This window comes from Homo sapiens, chromosome 11 (assembly GCF_000001405.40).
Source record: "Homo sapiens chromosome 11, GRCh38.p14 Primary Assembly".
Lineage (NCBI taxonomy): Eukaryota > Metazoa > Chordata > Mammalia > Primates > Hominidae > Homo > Homo sapiens.
In genome coordinates, this window is record NC_000011.10 from 30,076,334 (window position 1) to 30,090,621 (window position 14,288).

The 14,288-nt window shown below is 34.7% G+C and overlaps 1 long non-coding RNA gene across 7 annotated transcripts in view; it reads right to left on the reverse strand.

The window, feature by feature from the left end:
- ARL14EP-DT (ARL14EP divergent transcript) overlaps positions 1-14,288 on the reverse strand; it is a 279,977-nt gene that overhangs the window by 33,364 nt on the left and 232,325 nt on the right. The window contains exon 4 of one of the 7 annotated variants that reach the window (NR_187433.1): positions 7,980-8,067. The exons of the other annotated variants lie outside the window; for them this stretch is intronic. This is a non-coding gene — a long non-coding RNA (ARL14EP divergent transcript). The remainder of the gene's footprint in view (positions 1-7,979; positions 8,068-14,288) is intronic. 7 annotated transcript variants of the gene reach the window in all.

The window sequence follows — 14,288 nt, forward strand, 5'->3', positions numbered from 1 at the left end:
ATTTTTGCAACACAGCTCTTTAAAAAAATCACTCATTGTGCTTGAATTAATAATCATGGCTTTAAGTAAAATGAATAATTATTCATTACCTACTCACTACTATCTTCAAACAGAATTTCCCTCAACAAGTTAGTAAGTCTCTTGTCTCCAGGCCCTTTGGCTCTTGGGCAGCAGTCTATCAGTTATATCCTCAATTTCCTAGTGGAAGAAATATTTAAAGTCCTAGGACAGTTAATGATCCATGCCAAATCATTAGAGAAAGCAATAGAACCCATTTACACTTGTAGTCAAATTTGAAAGAAGACACTAACAAAGAGATATTTATGACTTCTCCAGAATATAGCTCAAGTCTCACAAACCAATTCTTTAATAGAATTCTCTCCCTCTGCCCTTTTTAAATAATTAGTGACTTTAACTCAATGGAATATTAAAATTTGATCACTGGTTACTGTAGCAATTTGAGAACAAATTGAAAATCATTAATCCCACAGATAAAAATGTCAGTTGTCTTGGGTGTAGAGACATTCCAGTGAAATATGTTATTAAAATTATTAGATATGTTTTAATATTTGAGATACCTATATTTCTATCTATTTTTCTGTCATCTATGTTAGAATAAGCCTGGCACTATTGAAACTATCACTAATTTTAAAGTAGATATACTTTATGCTCTTCATCACTTTGTTTTATCAAACACCTCTAAGATCACTAGTACTTTATAGAAGTTAATATAACCATAGTTTTTTCCTTCAGAAGTTGAGTTATTTGAGTTTTCTAAGGCACTTTGGACTGGATCCTAATGAACACACAGTACAAAATATAAGTTAGAAAATGGAAGTCTAGTTTTTGATACCACATATTACTATAAAATATTTTAAATTTAGTTTTATCATTTTAACAATCCATTTAAAAATCATCTTGGTTGACTTTACTCATACTACTTGCTGAAGACTAAAAATTGTGTAAATGTAGACAGCATATACCTCTATGGGTATGGTGAATCTGTGATATGATTAGCCATAAAAATTAAACTCAGAGATTTGCCACTGAAAATAGTGAAATTGTCAGGATTGACTATCAATACTCATTGCTTTTGCTTTGCTGAACTTCCCACTTTTTAAAGATGAATTCAGAAAAGAAATTGGCATAATCATTGATACAATGTCAATCTCTGCACTCTACAATGCAGAATGCATTTTTAAAAGTGCACATACATTATTACATGGAGTGGTGTAGTAGAAAGAGAAACAGGCTTAGAATCAAGAGATGTTGGTCCTGTTTTGCCACTGTATGACTTACAATGCAATTTTGAAAAAGCTGCTTTACCTCTCTAGAGTTTATCTTTCTTATATATAACGTGATAAGATTGATCTTTCCTATGCATAAAATGGTAAGATTGATCTCAATATTAGTGTTCTAACTAAATAATTATGACCCGATCTAAAATACCTTGAAATATTCAAATAACTCAACCTCTAAGAAATTGTGGTTATGTTGCTTCCTTTAAGGCACTGGTGACCCAATAAATATTTATTTCCAAGTACAGTGGATCCTTATTGTTCATGGATTCTATGTTTAAGTTGTCTGCTCACTAATATTTACTTGTATGCCCAATATTAATACATGCATTGCCTTCATGGTTATTCATGGACATGCACAGTGTGGCAAAAAATTTGTCACCCAATGCGTATGTTCCAAGCTGAGGTCAAGTAAAGCAATGAGCTGCCTTACTGTTTAAGTTCTCATGCTATAAATAAGTGTCCCTTTTGCAGTCTATTTAGTACAATGGTTTTTGCATTTTTGTACTTTTTGCTAGTGATTTTACTGTTTAAAATGGCCCCAAAGAATAATGCTGAAGTTCTATCTAATGCTTCTAAGTCTAAGTAGGCTGTGATGTGCCTTATGAAGAAAACACATGTGTTAGATTAGCTTTGCTGAGGCATGAGGTATGATGCTGTTGCTATTTCAATGTAAATGAATGGAAAATATGTATTAAATAAGGTGTCTTTAGATGGAAACCCACACACAAAACAGTTATGTATTAACAGGTTACTGAGTATGTTATGACCAGAGACTAATAAGAACAGTATTTCCCCTAGTAGCATCCAATAAGTTCTTTCTAAAAATAATCTCTCTGAAGAAAATCTTTAGGAAACTTATAAGAGAATTTTATTTTAATACAATGTTTCAAGTGCTCACCAAGGTATTTGGTGTGACAATCACATTGTAAGGTACAGCTAAATATTTAGGATTCCATCATGTCTTTTCTATTAAGAATACTCCTCTCTGCTATATCTAAACATTGTCATCATTTTCCAACTTATTTCCACTTGAGCAGTATCTGGGCAGTTCAAGATTTCATTAGATGTTATAACTGTCTTCAAAAACATGATTTTGCAGGGTCCCTCACTTCCTATCACCCAATAAAACACTTACTTCCTTTGAGTGCACATTCAGCCTGCTCAGTATTCTATCTCTGGGAATGAAACAGCATCATTTTGACAGAAGCATATCTGAACATCTTAATAGACTGCAGAAAATGCTTAGGAAATGGGATATAGGTGTGGGAGCAATATAATTTCAAAGAATGCACTTGCTTTTCCAATAAAAAACTGAACACCTGTGATCTGTGGAAAATTTGATAAACAGATATAAGAGAAAGGGTGGGAAAAAAAGGTTGCTCTTGATATTTCACTCCTTGCTAACAGCAGATTGCTAAAGTTACCACTTTCAAATTTTGCAGCTCTTGAAACTCTATTTCAAACTCACACAGGCAATGGGTTTTATATTATATTGCAACTATAAGTTAAATAGAAAGATATGCATCATATTTCACATAGTGTAATCTGTGTGTGGTAGAAAAATGCATTGGGATATTAATTTGCCTTTTCTTGTCACTGCTGTAAATAATTTACAGTTCTGTGTCTTAGAAGATAGCAATGTTTTTGTCTTCCCTTTTCCCAGAAATGGGAAAAAATGCAAGTGTACTCAAAAGATCAGTTGCAATCTGGACTTTTTTTTCAAAAATCGAGGCTCATAAGAGAATATGGAATTAGATGATCTGAGAGAAGAGATTTCAGGGTTGGGAAAGGTAGTGAATTAGCTTTTGGAGAAGGGTATTGAGAGAGTTTTTCCAGCGAATAGTAGAGTTGGAGTCTAGGAAGTTCACAAGCAATGGTGAAACGGTGTGTTGCTCCATCTTCTACAGCCAGGGAGATGGCAGCTGCTATGGTTTTGGATTTGTGTCCCTACTGAAATCTCAGGTTTAATTGTAATCCCCGCTGTTGAGGATGAGGGGGGCCTGGTGGGAGGTGATTGGATCATGGGGACAGACTTCCCCCTTGCAGTTCTTATAACAGTGAGTGATTTCTCATGAAATCTGGTTGTTTAAAAGTGTAGCACCTCCTCCTTCTCTCTCTCCTTCCTGCTCTGGCCATATAGGATGTGTCTGTTTCCCCTTCACTTTCTACAATAATTGTAAGTTTCCTGAGGCCTCCCAAGCCATGCTTTCAGTATAGCCTGCAGAACCTTCAGCCAATTAAACCTCTTTTCTTTTTAAATTACCCAGTCTCAGGTAGTTCTTTATAGCAATGTGAGAATGCACTAATAAAGTGGGTCTCAGATAAAAATGATAGCAAGATATACCTGTAGTGGTCAGGGACTAGAGACTGCAGCCCTTGGAATCAGCCAAAATCTAAATGCCCCTTTGATGGAGGCAGACAAAGGATAGGTAACAGTGGTGACTAGTATATACTGCAGACCCAAAGGCTATTCTTCAAATGCTCTTTAAGTACTGTGATTCTTTCAGGACCCTAGGTTTCCCATAAAAACATGAATTTCAATTTTATTTTTATCAGGTAGGGAAGGGTCCTACCTGATAGGTCACTGATATGATTTTTACAAGAAAAATAAAATTATGTTTCTTGTACTGTATCATAGACTAGATCTTGCACTGGATCACAGACATAGATCATAGCCATATGTCAGCTCATGTAACCCTCATAACAACTCTAGGGTATAGGTATTATTAAACCCATTTTAAAGATAATAAAAGTGAGGCACAGAAAGGTCAAATACCTTGCCTAATGTCACAGAGCATGGAGGTGGCAGAGCTGGTATTTGAACCCAAGCAGCCTGACCTGACACTGTGCTCTGGACTACACCACTATTCTGCCTATCCTGTCATGTTCATGTCAGGCCACATAACTCTTTAAAGTGGACTGCTACAAATAATTATTGTGCACATATATTATCTTCCTTTAGCTTTTTAAAGTCTGGCGTGCTTCTTATTCTTTATATTTCCCAAAGTGCCTGATACTGACCCTGGAAAAATATCACTCACATGAATGTGTAAAAATCAAACTTGCTCACAAAACAGGTCTGAATATATATATATGTGCAGATAATGACACACACACACGTATTTATATATGTATACAGGTATATATGTATATATAGTCTTTAAAACATAGATGGTCAGGACTGATCAGTTTAAATGCAATAGATGTGCATTTTAAATGCCTATATGCAATAACATATCAAAATACATTCTCAACAGAGAATGCATTAATATTTTTCAATATCTTTTCTTCATTACTTCAGAATATATAATAAAAATGGTAATTAGATGGATTTTTTTTAAAACTGCAGGTAGTAAACTGGTTCTAGAATTTATTCTGAATGGTATTACAGAACTATTGTGAGCCAGGAATATATGACTTTTAAGGAACATGCCATAACTAATGCAGTGGACTCTGTTGTGCACACCCAGATCCCTCTTCAGATCTGAAGAACTTATGCCCCCAGCTGCTAGAAACGCTGCCCACTGCCGAATGGTTTTCAGCCCTCGACAGAAATTAGTCTCAGCTAGGGAGAAAAAAAAAAGAGAAATACATCAAGCTAAGATGTGTCTGTTTCTTCAGAGGCAGCCTGCAACTGATGACTGGTCAATATGGGAATATAAAGGTCCACCTCTTTCTTTTTCACAACTTGGGAATACTCTGGTGGGCCATCGTAACTTTCAAGCTCCCTGTGCAGAACAGTTGTGGCTTTCTTGGTATCAAAGCCCAACTTCTACATCGGCCCAATCCCGCTTTTTTCCCTTTTCCTTCACAAGTGTTGATCCTGAGAGCCTTCCAAATAAAGTTCTTCCTGCCATTCTTCGTGTCAGCATCTGCTTCTTGTGGAAATCAAGCTGTGACATCTAATGCATCCAAATGCATGCTACATGCTAAACTGACATCACACTTGTTTCTCTGTAGGAATACTTAATACATTTTCTTCCAGTTTGTAGCATTTATGTGGCTTAACCTAATAGAAGCAGATAAGTCATGTCCACAGATTCAAGCTGATCTTGCCCTGCTGTAATTTACAACATTAAAATGAGAAGATCTCTTTCTAGCTAATCATTAGATCCTCATATGATAGTATCCATGGATTGCAACTGTAGAAGCTAAAATTGGGTGCTGATAAGGTGTCAGGTGCTGTGCCAAATGCTTTGCATGTATTATTTTATTTAAGCCTCATAATGACCGTATGAGGTAAATACTATTTTTATTTCATTTTACAGTGACGCTTACTGTAGTAGTTAAATAACTTTCTCAAGGTTGCAGTATGACACGGCATTCTGTCTACAGCCTCTTAATACTACTATATTGCCTCACCTATATACATAATGACAAAGAGCTATAAAGAATTCAGTAATGCATTTAAATTACTTTCTATTTTATTCACCATAAAAAAAAATAGCACCTGAATTCATTTGAAATATAGTAATTCAATAAGTGCTATTTTTATTCAGCCAGCAGACAATTTTTGGAGGCCATATGCAGTTGCAAATTCTTTCAAAAACTCTGTACCTCTCACAGAGTCCTCTACTCCCGACTCAATAGTTAGTGACCATTGCCCTCAACAGTTTACATACCCCTCCCATTTGGTGCTCCTGGTGCTTAATGTTACACATTCTCCCTTTGTACACCTAAAAAAGATACATACAAAGTAGAAAAAAGCCAAAAAAAAAAAAAGGCAAGAAAGAAAAAAGTTCAAAAGCAGCAAATATTATTACACTGAAAAACAGTAGCCCACAGAAGCAATTAGAAAATTTTGGTACAGTGTGTGCAGATTCTAAAACTTACTACCATTATTGCTCATTGACAGACATTTTGTGGAAAGAAGGTGAGTATTCCAAATCTTGAGGCTTTCACTGATATCTCTAATTTGACAAAAAGTAGACTAAAGGATACGTAGGAATGTAGAAAAAAACAGGCTAGGCAAATTCTTAAGAGTAAATGCCATGCTGGATGAGTGAGCAGGAGCAAGAACAGAATTTTCCAAAGTTACATTTTGATGTGAATGAATTGACTGAAGGCTTAGGGTATTCTACCAGAAAAATAGGATATACCTTCAACCAAGTGAAATGAAACGATAGTACAGGATATTTGAGAACATATCAGAAGAAAAAGCAAATAATGAATGTTTTAGTTTCTTGTCAAAGCAAACTGCAATATAAGGAACTAATAAGTTGTTACCCTTCTCTTTCCATGCTTGTACTCTAAGGTTAAAAAAAAAAGAAAAGAAAAAAGAAAGAGAGAATGGAAGAAAGAAAGAAAGGAGGGAGGGAGGGAAAAAGGAAGGAAAAGAAATCACTTTGGTGCAATAGCTCGGCTAGTTAGGAGTTCAGGGAACATGCGGGTGGTGGGAAGAATAGTCTTTGAGTTGACTGGAAGAGGATCAAAGCTAATTTATCTATATTATATTAGAGCAAACAGAAGATCTTGGCAAAGCTACCCATGGCAAGCACAAATAAATGAAAATGAACACAACTGAATTAATATAAATTTTATATTGTAACAAAATGAAGAACCAAGTCTGGAAGAAAGAATAATTCAAGTGAAATAAGAATATTCTCTTTGAATGTACTAAGCTATCAAAGAACACAATAAAATACACACATAATAAAAAATAGCTCAAAAACGAAACTATTAACAATATTCAATTAAAAGAAAAATTACAGAGCCAATAAATGAATTATAAACACCAAACAATTTACTATTAAAGAAGAAAGATTTGAGTTAATAATATGCAGAGCAAATTGGAGAAGAGAACAAAACAGTTAGAATATACTATACAGGTAAGATAGAAAAAGAAAAATCATTGGGAAATTTGTGTTCCTCAGAGAACCTAACAAGTAGAATAAAAAGCATATTCAAAGTTAAAAGGTCCAGTGTGGTCAGGCAAATCCAAAAAAAATGATCAACATAAGATATATTCTGATTAAATTTTTCAACATCTAAAAGTAAAAAAGATTACCTCAAATACACAGGCAGGATTTAAAAAAAAACACAAAATATAACAGTCAAAAAAATCAAGCCACATTTACTCTATAGCAATATTCAATGCCAGAGACAATAAATTCAAATGTTCAGAGCTGTGACCCAAAGCTAATTATCAAGGGAGGTGATATTCAAGTATAGAAGTTTCTGGCAGAAATTTTTAATAATGAGTAAACACAAGGTATAAAGTCCTCAAGAGTTGTTCTTGGGAAAAAAGAAACTCTAGAACTATAATTTTTGAGTTTGGAAAACTAAAATATGAGTAGAAAATTTCTAATAAAACTATTAATGAAGCAGGAACAGTTGAGAAAAGTATATAAAGTCCAAAGGGAAATAAAAATGACTCAAGTATTTCATATCCAGACTCATATTTCTTGGAGTAGAAAAACAACTCACAAATATTCTTAGACATTAAGAAGCAAATAAAGGAATGCAATGTCTCTGAACTTTTATAAAATGTCTTTCAATGCAATGCAATAAAATGCAGCAAACCAAGAACTGAATCAAAATAAAGAATCCAGAAATGGAGAAACATAGTAAGGTACTGGAAGTAAGCAGTGGGTCCATGTATTAGTCTGTTCTCACATTGCTATAAAGAACTACCTGAGAATGAGTAATTTATAAAGAAAAGTGATTTAATTGACTCACAGTTCCACAGGCTGTACAGGAAGCATGGCTTGGGAGGCCTCAGGAAATTTACAATCATGGCTGAAGGTGAAGGGGAAGCAGGAAACGTCTTACATGGACAGAACAAGAGAATGAGAGATCAGAGGGAGGTGCTACACACTTTTAAACAACCGGATCTCATGAGAACTCACTATCACAAGAACAGCAAGAGGGAAATCCACCCCCATGATCCAGTCACCTCCTACCAGGTCCCTCCTCCTACATTGGGGATTAAAATTTGATATGAGATTTGGGGGGAAACACAAATCCAAACCATATAAATCCACTTAAAGATAAAAATAAACCCAAACAACTGTGGAACTATGGCTATTCTACAGAAATTAAGAGTTCAAACTCTGATAACAGATTGAAATGGGTTTAAAATGTGGCTCCATTGCTTATTAAATGTATGTTGGACAATTACTCAACCACTTGGTATCTCAGTTCTCTTATCTGTAAGATGGGAAAATAATACTTGCCTGAAAGGATCCTGGTGAATATTAAATTACATGATAAATATAAGAAGCCTGAACAAGCCAAGAAATATAATATGTTGTAAGCCAAAAATGAGTATGGGCCAGCTCTCAGATTAAAGAAAAAGAAGGGGCCAGGCGCGGTGGCTCACGCCTGTAATCCCAGCACTTTGGGAGGCCGAGACAGGTGGATAACCTGAGGTCAGGAGTTCGAGACCAGCCTGGCCAACATGGTGAAACCCTGTTTCTACTTAAAAAATACGAAATTAGCTGGGCATGGTGGCGTGTGCCTGTAGTCCCAGCTACCCGGGAGGCTGAGGCAGGAGAATTGCTGGTACCTAGGAGGCGGAGGTTGCAGTGAGCTGAGATGGCACCACTGCACTCCAGCCTGGGCTACAAAGTGAGACTCCGTCTCAAAAAAAAAAAATACAAAAAGAAAAAAAACAAGAAAAAGAAGGAAGGAAAGAACAAAGAAATTTAAAAAAAGAAGGGAGGGAGAAAGGAAGGCAGGCAAGCAGCCTTAGAGTAATGATTGGAATCTGCAGATTTCAATAAATGTCAGCCATTATGTTTTTATATAAAATAATGTAAATATTACCAATTTTGACAGAACAAACATGCTAATATAAATAACCAATATAAGAAAGTAAAGGAAAATGGAGGAATGAGAAATGTAAATACAAATTTTTCCTATTCTTCATAGAATGCAGGAATTTGGTACTATTTAAACTTGAAGTCTTGAATTCAAAAAAATGATTTGCCACATCTTATTTTTCACAATATTTTACTTACCTTCAGAAAAATCTATTCATAACAAATATATATATTTGTTTTATAAATATCTGTGTATATATGTGTATACATACATATATTTATGTGTGTGTATATATACACATATAAGTTACACTTATATAAATATATGTATATATACACACGTATGTAAATATAAACATATTTACATATATGTTTTCGGAAGAAATGATTATTGGATGCTCAACTGTTTATTTTCATTTGAGTTTGTTTTTATTATAATAAAATTAATTCAATACATTTCATTTAAAATAGAATATATTTCTGGATGCCATTTTATAAAAATCATTTTCATTCATTTATCTACCCATTCATTCTTTTGTTTATCTGTAGACAAAAATATGTATCTGCTATTATGCTCACCTAATAGTTTTGGTGTTTATCTTTGGGTGGTTAGATTTTTGTTTTCTCCTGTATTGCTTGAAGTTTTCTTAAAAATAGTAATTGTGTATCATTTTTATACAAATAATAAAGCTTTTTTATGGAGAATGTTTTTTAAAAGACCCACTACATGAAAAAAAGGCTATTTATTCAGTTTGCTATAGCAAAGGAGTCAGCCACCATCACTTGTATTTTGGCAGAGATTCAAAGGCAGGCAAGAGTAACAAGAAAGCTTTATAGTGGAATAGAGGGAAGACTTCAGGTGTGTCCTGATTAGGAGCTGTTGTCAGGAACAGCCCCTAATCCTAATCTCTTATCCTGATGAAGGTAGCGTAACTAGAAGTGGGACTTCCTATGTAATTGCTTAGGGAGTACATATTTGGCTTTCTGTAGCTGGTCTTAAACTTGAAACAGGGAATAAATTAGGTAAACTGCCAGTTAATTATTACAGGAGTTACTATTTGGCTTTCAGGTCTGGTTGTTAGAGACAGTGGTCTGACTTCTTGTAAGTCTGACTTCTAGAGAGTAGGCAGGCTTCCTGGGCTGGTTACTATAGATAATGGGTTGGTTTCCTGGGCTGGGTGCTCATATTGTGGGTCAGAGCTCCATTTTTTTATGTTTGGCCATTGTCTGTTTGTATATTTTTTTTCTCTCACTTAAAACAAAAGATAAAAATTACAACAAATCAAATTATAAATTATGTGAAATATTCTTAAACTATTCTTGAGGTATTCTTGAGGAGCTTCAGAGATTGGCACAGTGATGGGAGGACCAATTAGTTCAAACTCACTATTTTCTTTTCCATTATATATGGGTGTGTGTGTGTATATATATATATATATATAGCCATATATATACACATAGATACATATACCCATATATATACACATATACATATTTGTGTGTGTGTGTATATATATATACACACACACACACAAACATATATACACATATACATACATATATACATACACACACACACACACACACGGCTCTTTCTAAGCTTTTGGGCCCTTCCTACAACTGTGATTAAGAAAACACTTTGATTACAAAAGTTGGAGAACACTTAATAATGTCTTATTCATCTGACTTATTCCTAGAAAACACTGCAATTTGACATAGGTATCAACACCATATGAAGTATAGTGAGATGGCTCCGTACTTGTTGTGTGACTTGGGACAGTTGACTAAACCTCATTTATTTTCTTCATCTTAAAATGGGAAAAATAATAAATAATAAACAATGTTAACACCTGCTTTTTAAGAATAAAGAGCTAATCTCAGAAACAAATTTAAGCCTTTTAACCTGAAAATACTGTCCAAGGAAATTATTAGTAAATATATTTTTAATTTAATATATATGATTTGATTTCTAATTTGAATAGCTTTGTTGTTATACAAAAAGTAAGTGATCTGCCCTCAATACTCTGGCTATGCTTATGCTTATTTTAATCTATATTATATTTGATTTGATCATGATGAGATTATTTCTATTTTCATTGAAAAGCACAAATTAAAATAGCTTTGATTCTTATCAAAACTGGATGCTGATTTTATGTAAAAACAGTTTTTCTTCTAAGTGACTTATTTCTCCTATTTTCTTTAACTTCAGATGGCATTTCATGCCCATACTACAACTCATCAAATTTATTTATTTATTTCAGCAATGGAGCTACATTCTAGAGTTAATTTATCTTCAGCATCTTTAAGTAACCCCAGAAATATATAAAAGTTGGAACCAGTTATAAATATTTTATTTCTTTCTACATAAACTTAACCTAATCAGTCAGAAAGTTTGTGGGTTGTAGAGGTTAACACATAGAGTTTAGGGTTAAAGAGACCTAAAGTCTGATTTTGCTCTTAATTCTTTTGTATGACCTTGGAGCTGTTACCTATTTAACTGATATTTGTCTCAGATTTTTAAATCTTAAAATGGGGGATAATAATACCCTTTGCTTGGATAATGTCATTAGAGGTGTCTAGTCTAACTAACAAATGCTATACAGTTTCCTCTGTAATTACATGATGTAGTTGCTTTGAGAAAAAGGTTACTGTGTCTCCCCCATCAATTAAGATCATCAGTCACACTTGATTAATTCAGGGCATTTTAATACACTCAGCAGCTGATATATTTACAAAGGCAGCACCTACATACCAAGGGTTTGTGCTGCATTGGGCAATAGTAAAACGCATCAGTCAGTAGGCTGTCAATACTTGAAGGCGTTTTTATCCAATCAAATGTCTCTTATTACCACACAGGGGATTGGATTCTAAAAATCTAAGAACATTCATTTGTCTGTTTAATGCTTCTAAACCTAGAATTAGATTAAAATCATTTTTGTTTTAAAAATCACTATACCTGATTATGAATGATTTTATTTCCTTTGTTATATGATTCTCTATTCCAAACATTATGCAATAAACATATTTACTTTTATTATTAAAATAGTATCATAGGAAAAAAGGGAAAACGTCACTACATTGAGTATTATGACACAAAATTCTTGTATTTAGATTGCTACTCTCCACAAAACAGAGCTTCATTTTACAATGACAGACCCCTTTATCCTGAGATAGGAAAGGGGGAAAAAGCTAGACAAGTAATTGCCACAAAATGGTATTAAGATTCAGAGTCGCAGACAGGCGTGGTGGCTTACACCTGTAATCCCAGCACTTTGGGAGTCCGAGGTGGGCGGATCACCTGAGGTTAGGAGTTCAAGATCAGCCTCACCAATATGGAGAAACTCTATCTCTACTAAAAATACAAAATTAGCTGGGCATGGTGGCACATGCCTGTAATCCCAGCTACTCGGGAGTCTGAGGCAGGAGAATTGCTTGAACCCAGGAGGCAGAGGTTGCGGTGAGCTGAGATCACACCATTGCACTCCAGCCTGGGCAACAAGAGTGAAGCTGTCTCAAAAGAAAAAAAAAAAAGAATCAGAGTTGTAAACAATGACTTAAGCCAGGTAAAGTTGTCCATGAGGCAAAATATTATGTATAAAGTCACTTTATTTTTCTTTATTATAAATGAATTCATTTATTCTGTTCTTTTTATACCTTCCTATTTGGCTATTTTTTGTAATGAGTATATTACAAAATTAGTTGATTGCCATTCATTAATCAAGATAAAATTCATTCTCAATCTATGTTGCTTACCAAGAGCCCCATTAGCCACTGCTGTGATCCAGTTTCAATTTCAAAAAATTGGCTGACATTGACATTGTAGGGTGTCTGCTCAGTTTAAAAAACTCCCTTTCTTTTAGAATGTCTACTCTCACTTGTCCAACCTCCTTCTTGATAGGTGATTGGAACAAGGGTCAAATATCCTGTCTTGGAATTTGATATTGATTCACAGAAAGCCACATAGTTCGTTCTTGTGACTAGAGCAGAGATGGTATAAACTCTGGGTCAGTGGGATGGCATACTCCACTTTGAAATTCTGTGGGAAGCATGGAGGAAGATTGAGAGAGAGAGAAAGAGAGAGATAGAAGGCTGAGCATACTGTTCTCTGGGTTCTTGATTCTTTGGCAGTCCCTGAGGCCTGCTCCTTCTGGGGTTCTTGTACATCTTTCCCTCAGTCTCTTGGTCTCCGTTGAATTGTCCTTCTCCTTTTATGACTCAAACTAACCTTAATCATCAGTGTTAAAATTATTTCATTTGTTCTGTATTCATTTTCCCTTGGTCTTTACTTTTCACTTTCCTGGGATTGTAGTATTTGACTTGTCCTTTCAGTTTCTCAGGAAAACCTCCTTACGGGATGAGTCATAAAAGAACATTTCACACAATCATCTTAAACATCACTCCCTCTTTCTTTACCAGTTTCCCAAGACTGAACTGGAAACTATACTTTGATTCTCTACCAGCCTGTGACAGGTGCCCTCTCAATCTAGGAAAGCCTTCAGAAAATTATAGGATATCACTTTTCCTTGTGAGTGTTGATAATATTTTCCTAACTATCCTAAATATAAGCCTATTGGGACTGGCACATGCTGGAATCCTCAATGGCCCGACCTTCTCCAAAAGTCCTTATATCTTAGAATTCCCAACAGAATAGACAGAAGAAGCCCACATCAGGGTCCCTTGCTATATGTCAAAGAAAATTTCCATCTGTTTCATTTGGCAAGTGGTAACTTCCAGATGGCTTCATTTAAACCTGCCATTCCTCTCTCCTCCATTTAAGTCTCAATGGATACCATATGCCTGTCTGCAAATGAAGATTCTGAGAGGTAGCAATTTTCTTGCCCAAATCATTTTCTGCCTCTAGACCTAAGATTTTTCACCTGTGAAATTAGGAGGTTGGACTAGATATTCTCTATGGATTCACTGTATTTCATAATTCTATGAATTTCTCTCTATGAAAGAGAACAGCTGAGAGAAATAATTCACATACTCTACTTTTAAGGAACAGAAAAAATTAAATTATGTTTATTAAAAATATCATAGTTTATATATCAGTAATCACTTATAATTTTCAGATCTTAAAGTAAAAAAAAGTTTTATCTAGTGACAATAGTAGCATAGTATGGAGAAAGCAGTAGGGAGTTCTAGTCTTACAGATTTGGATTTAATATACAGTTCCATTATTTACTTTCTGTAAAACTGAGCATAGTACTCCATCTCCCTTGCT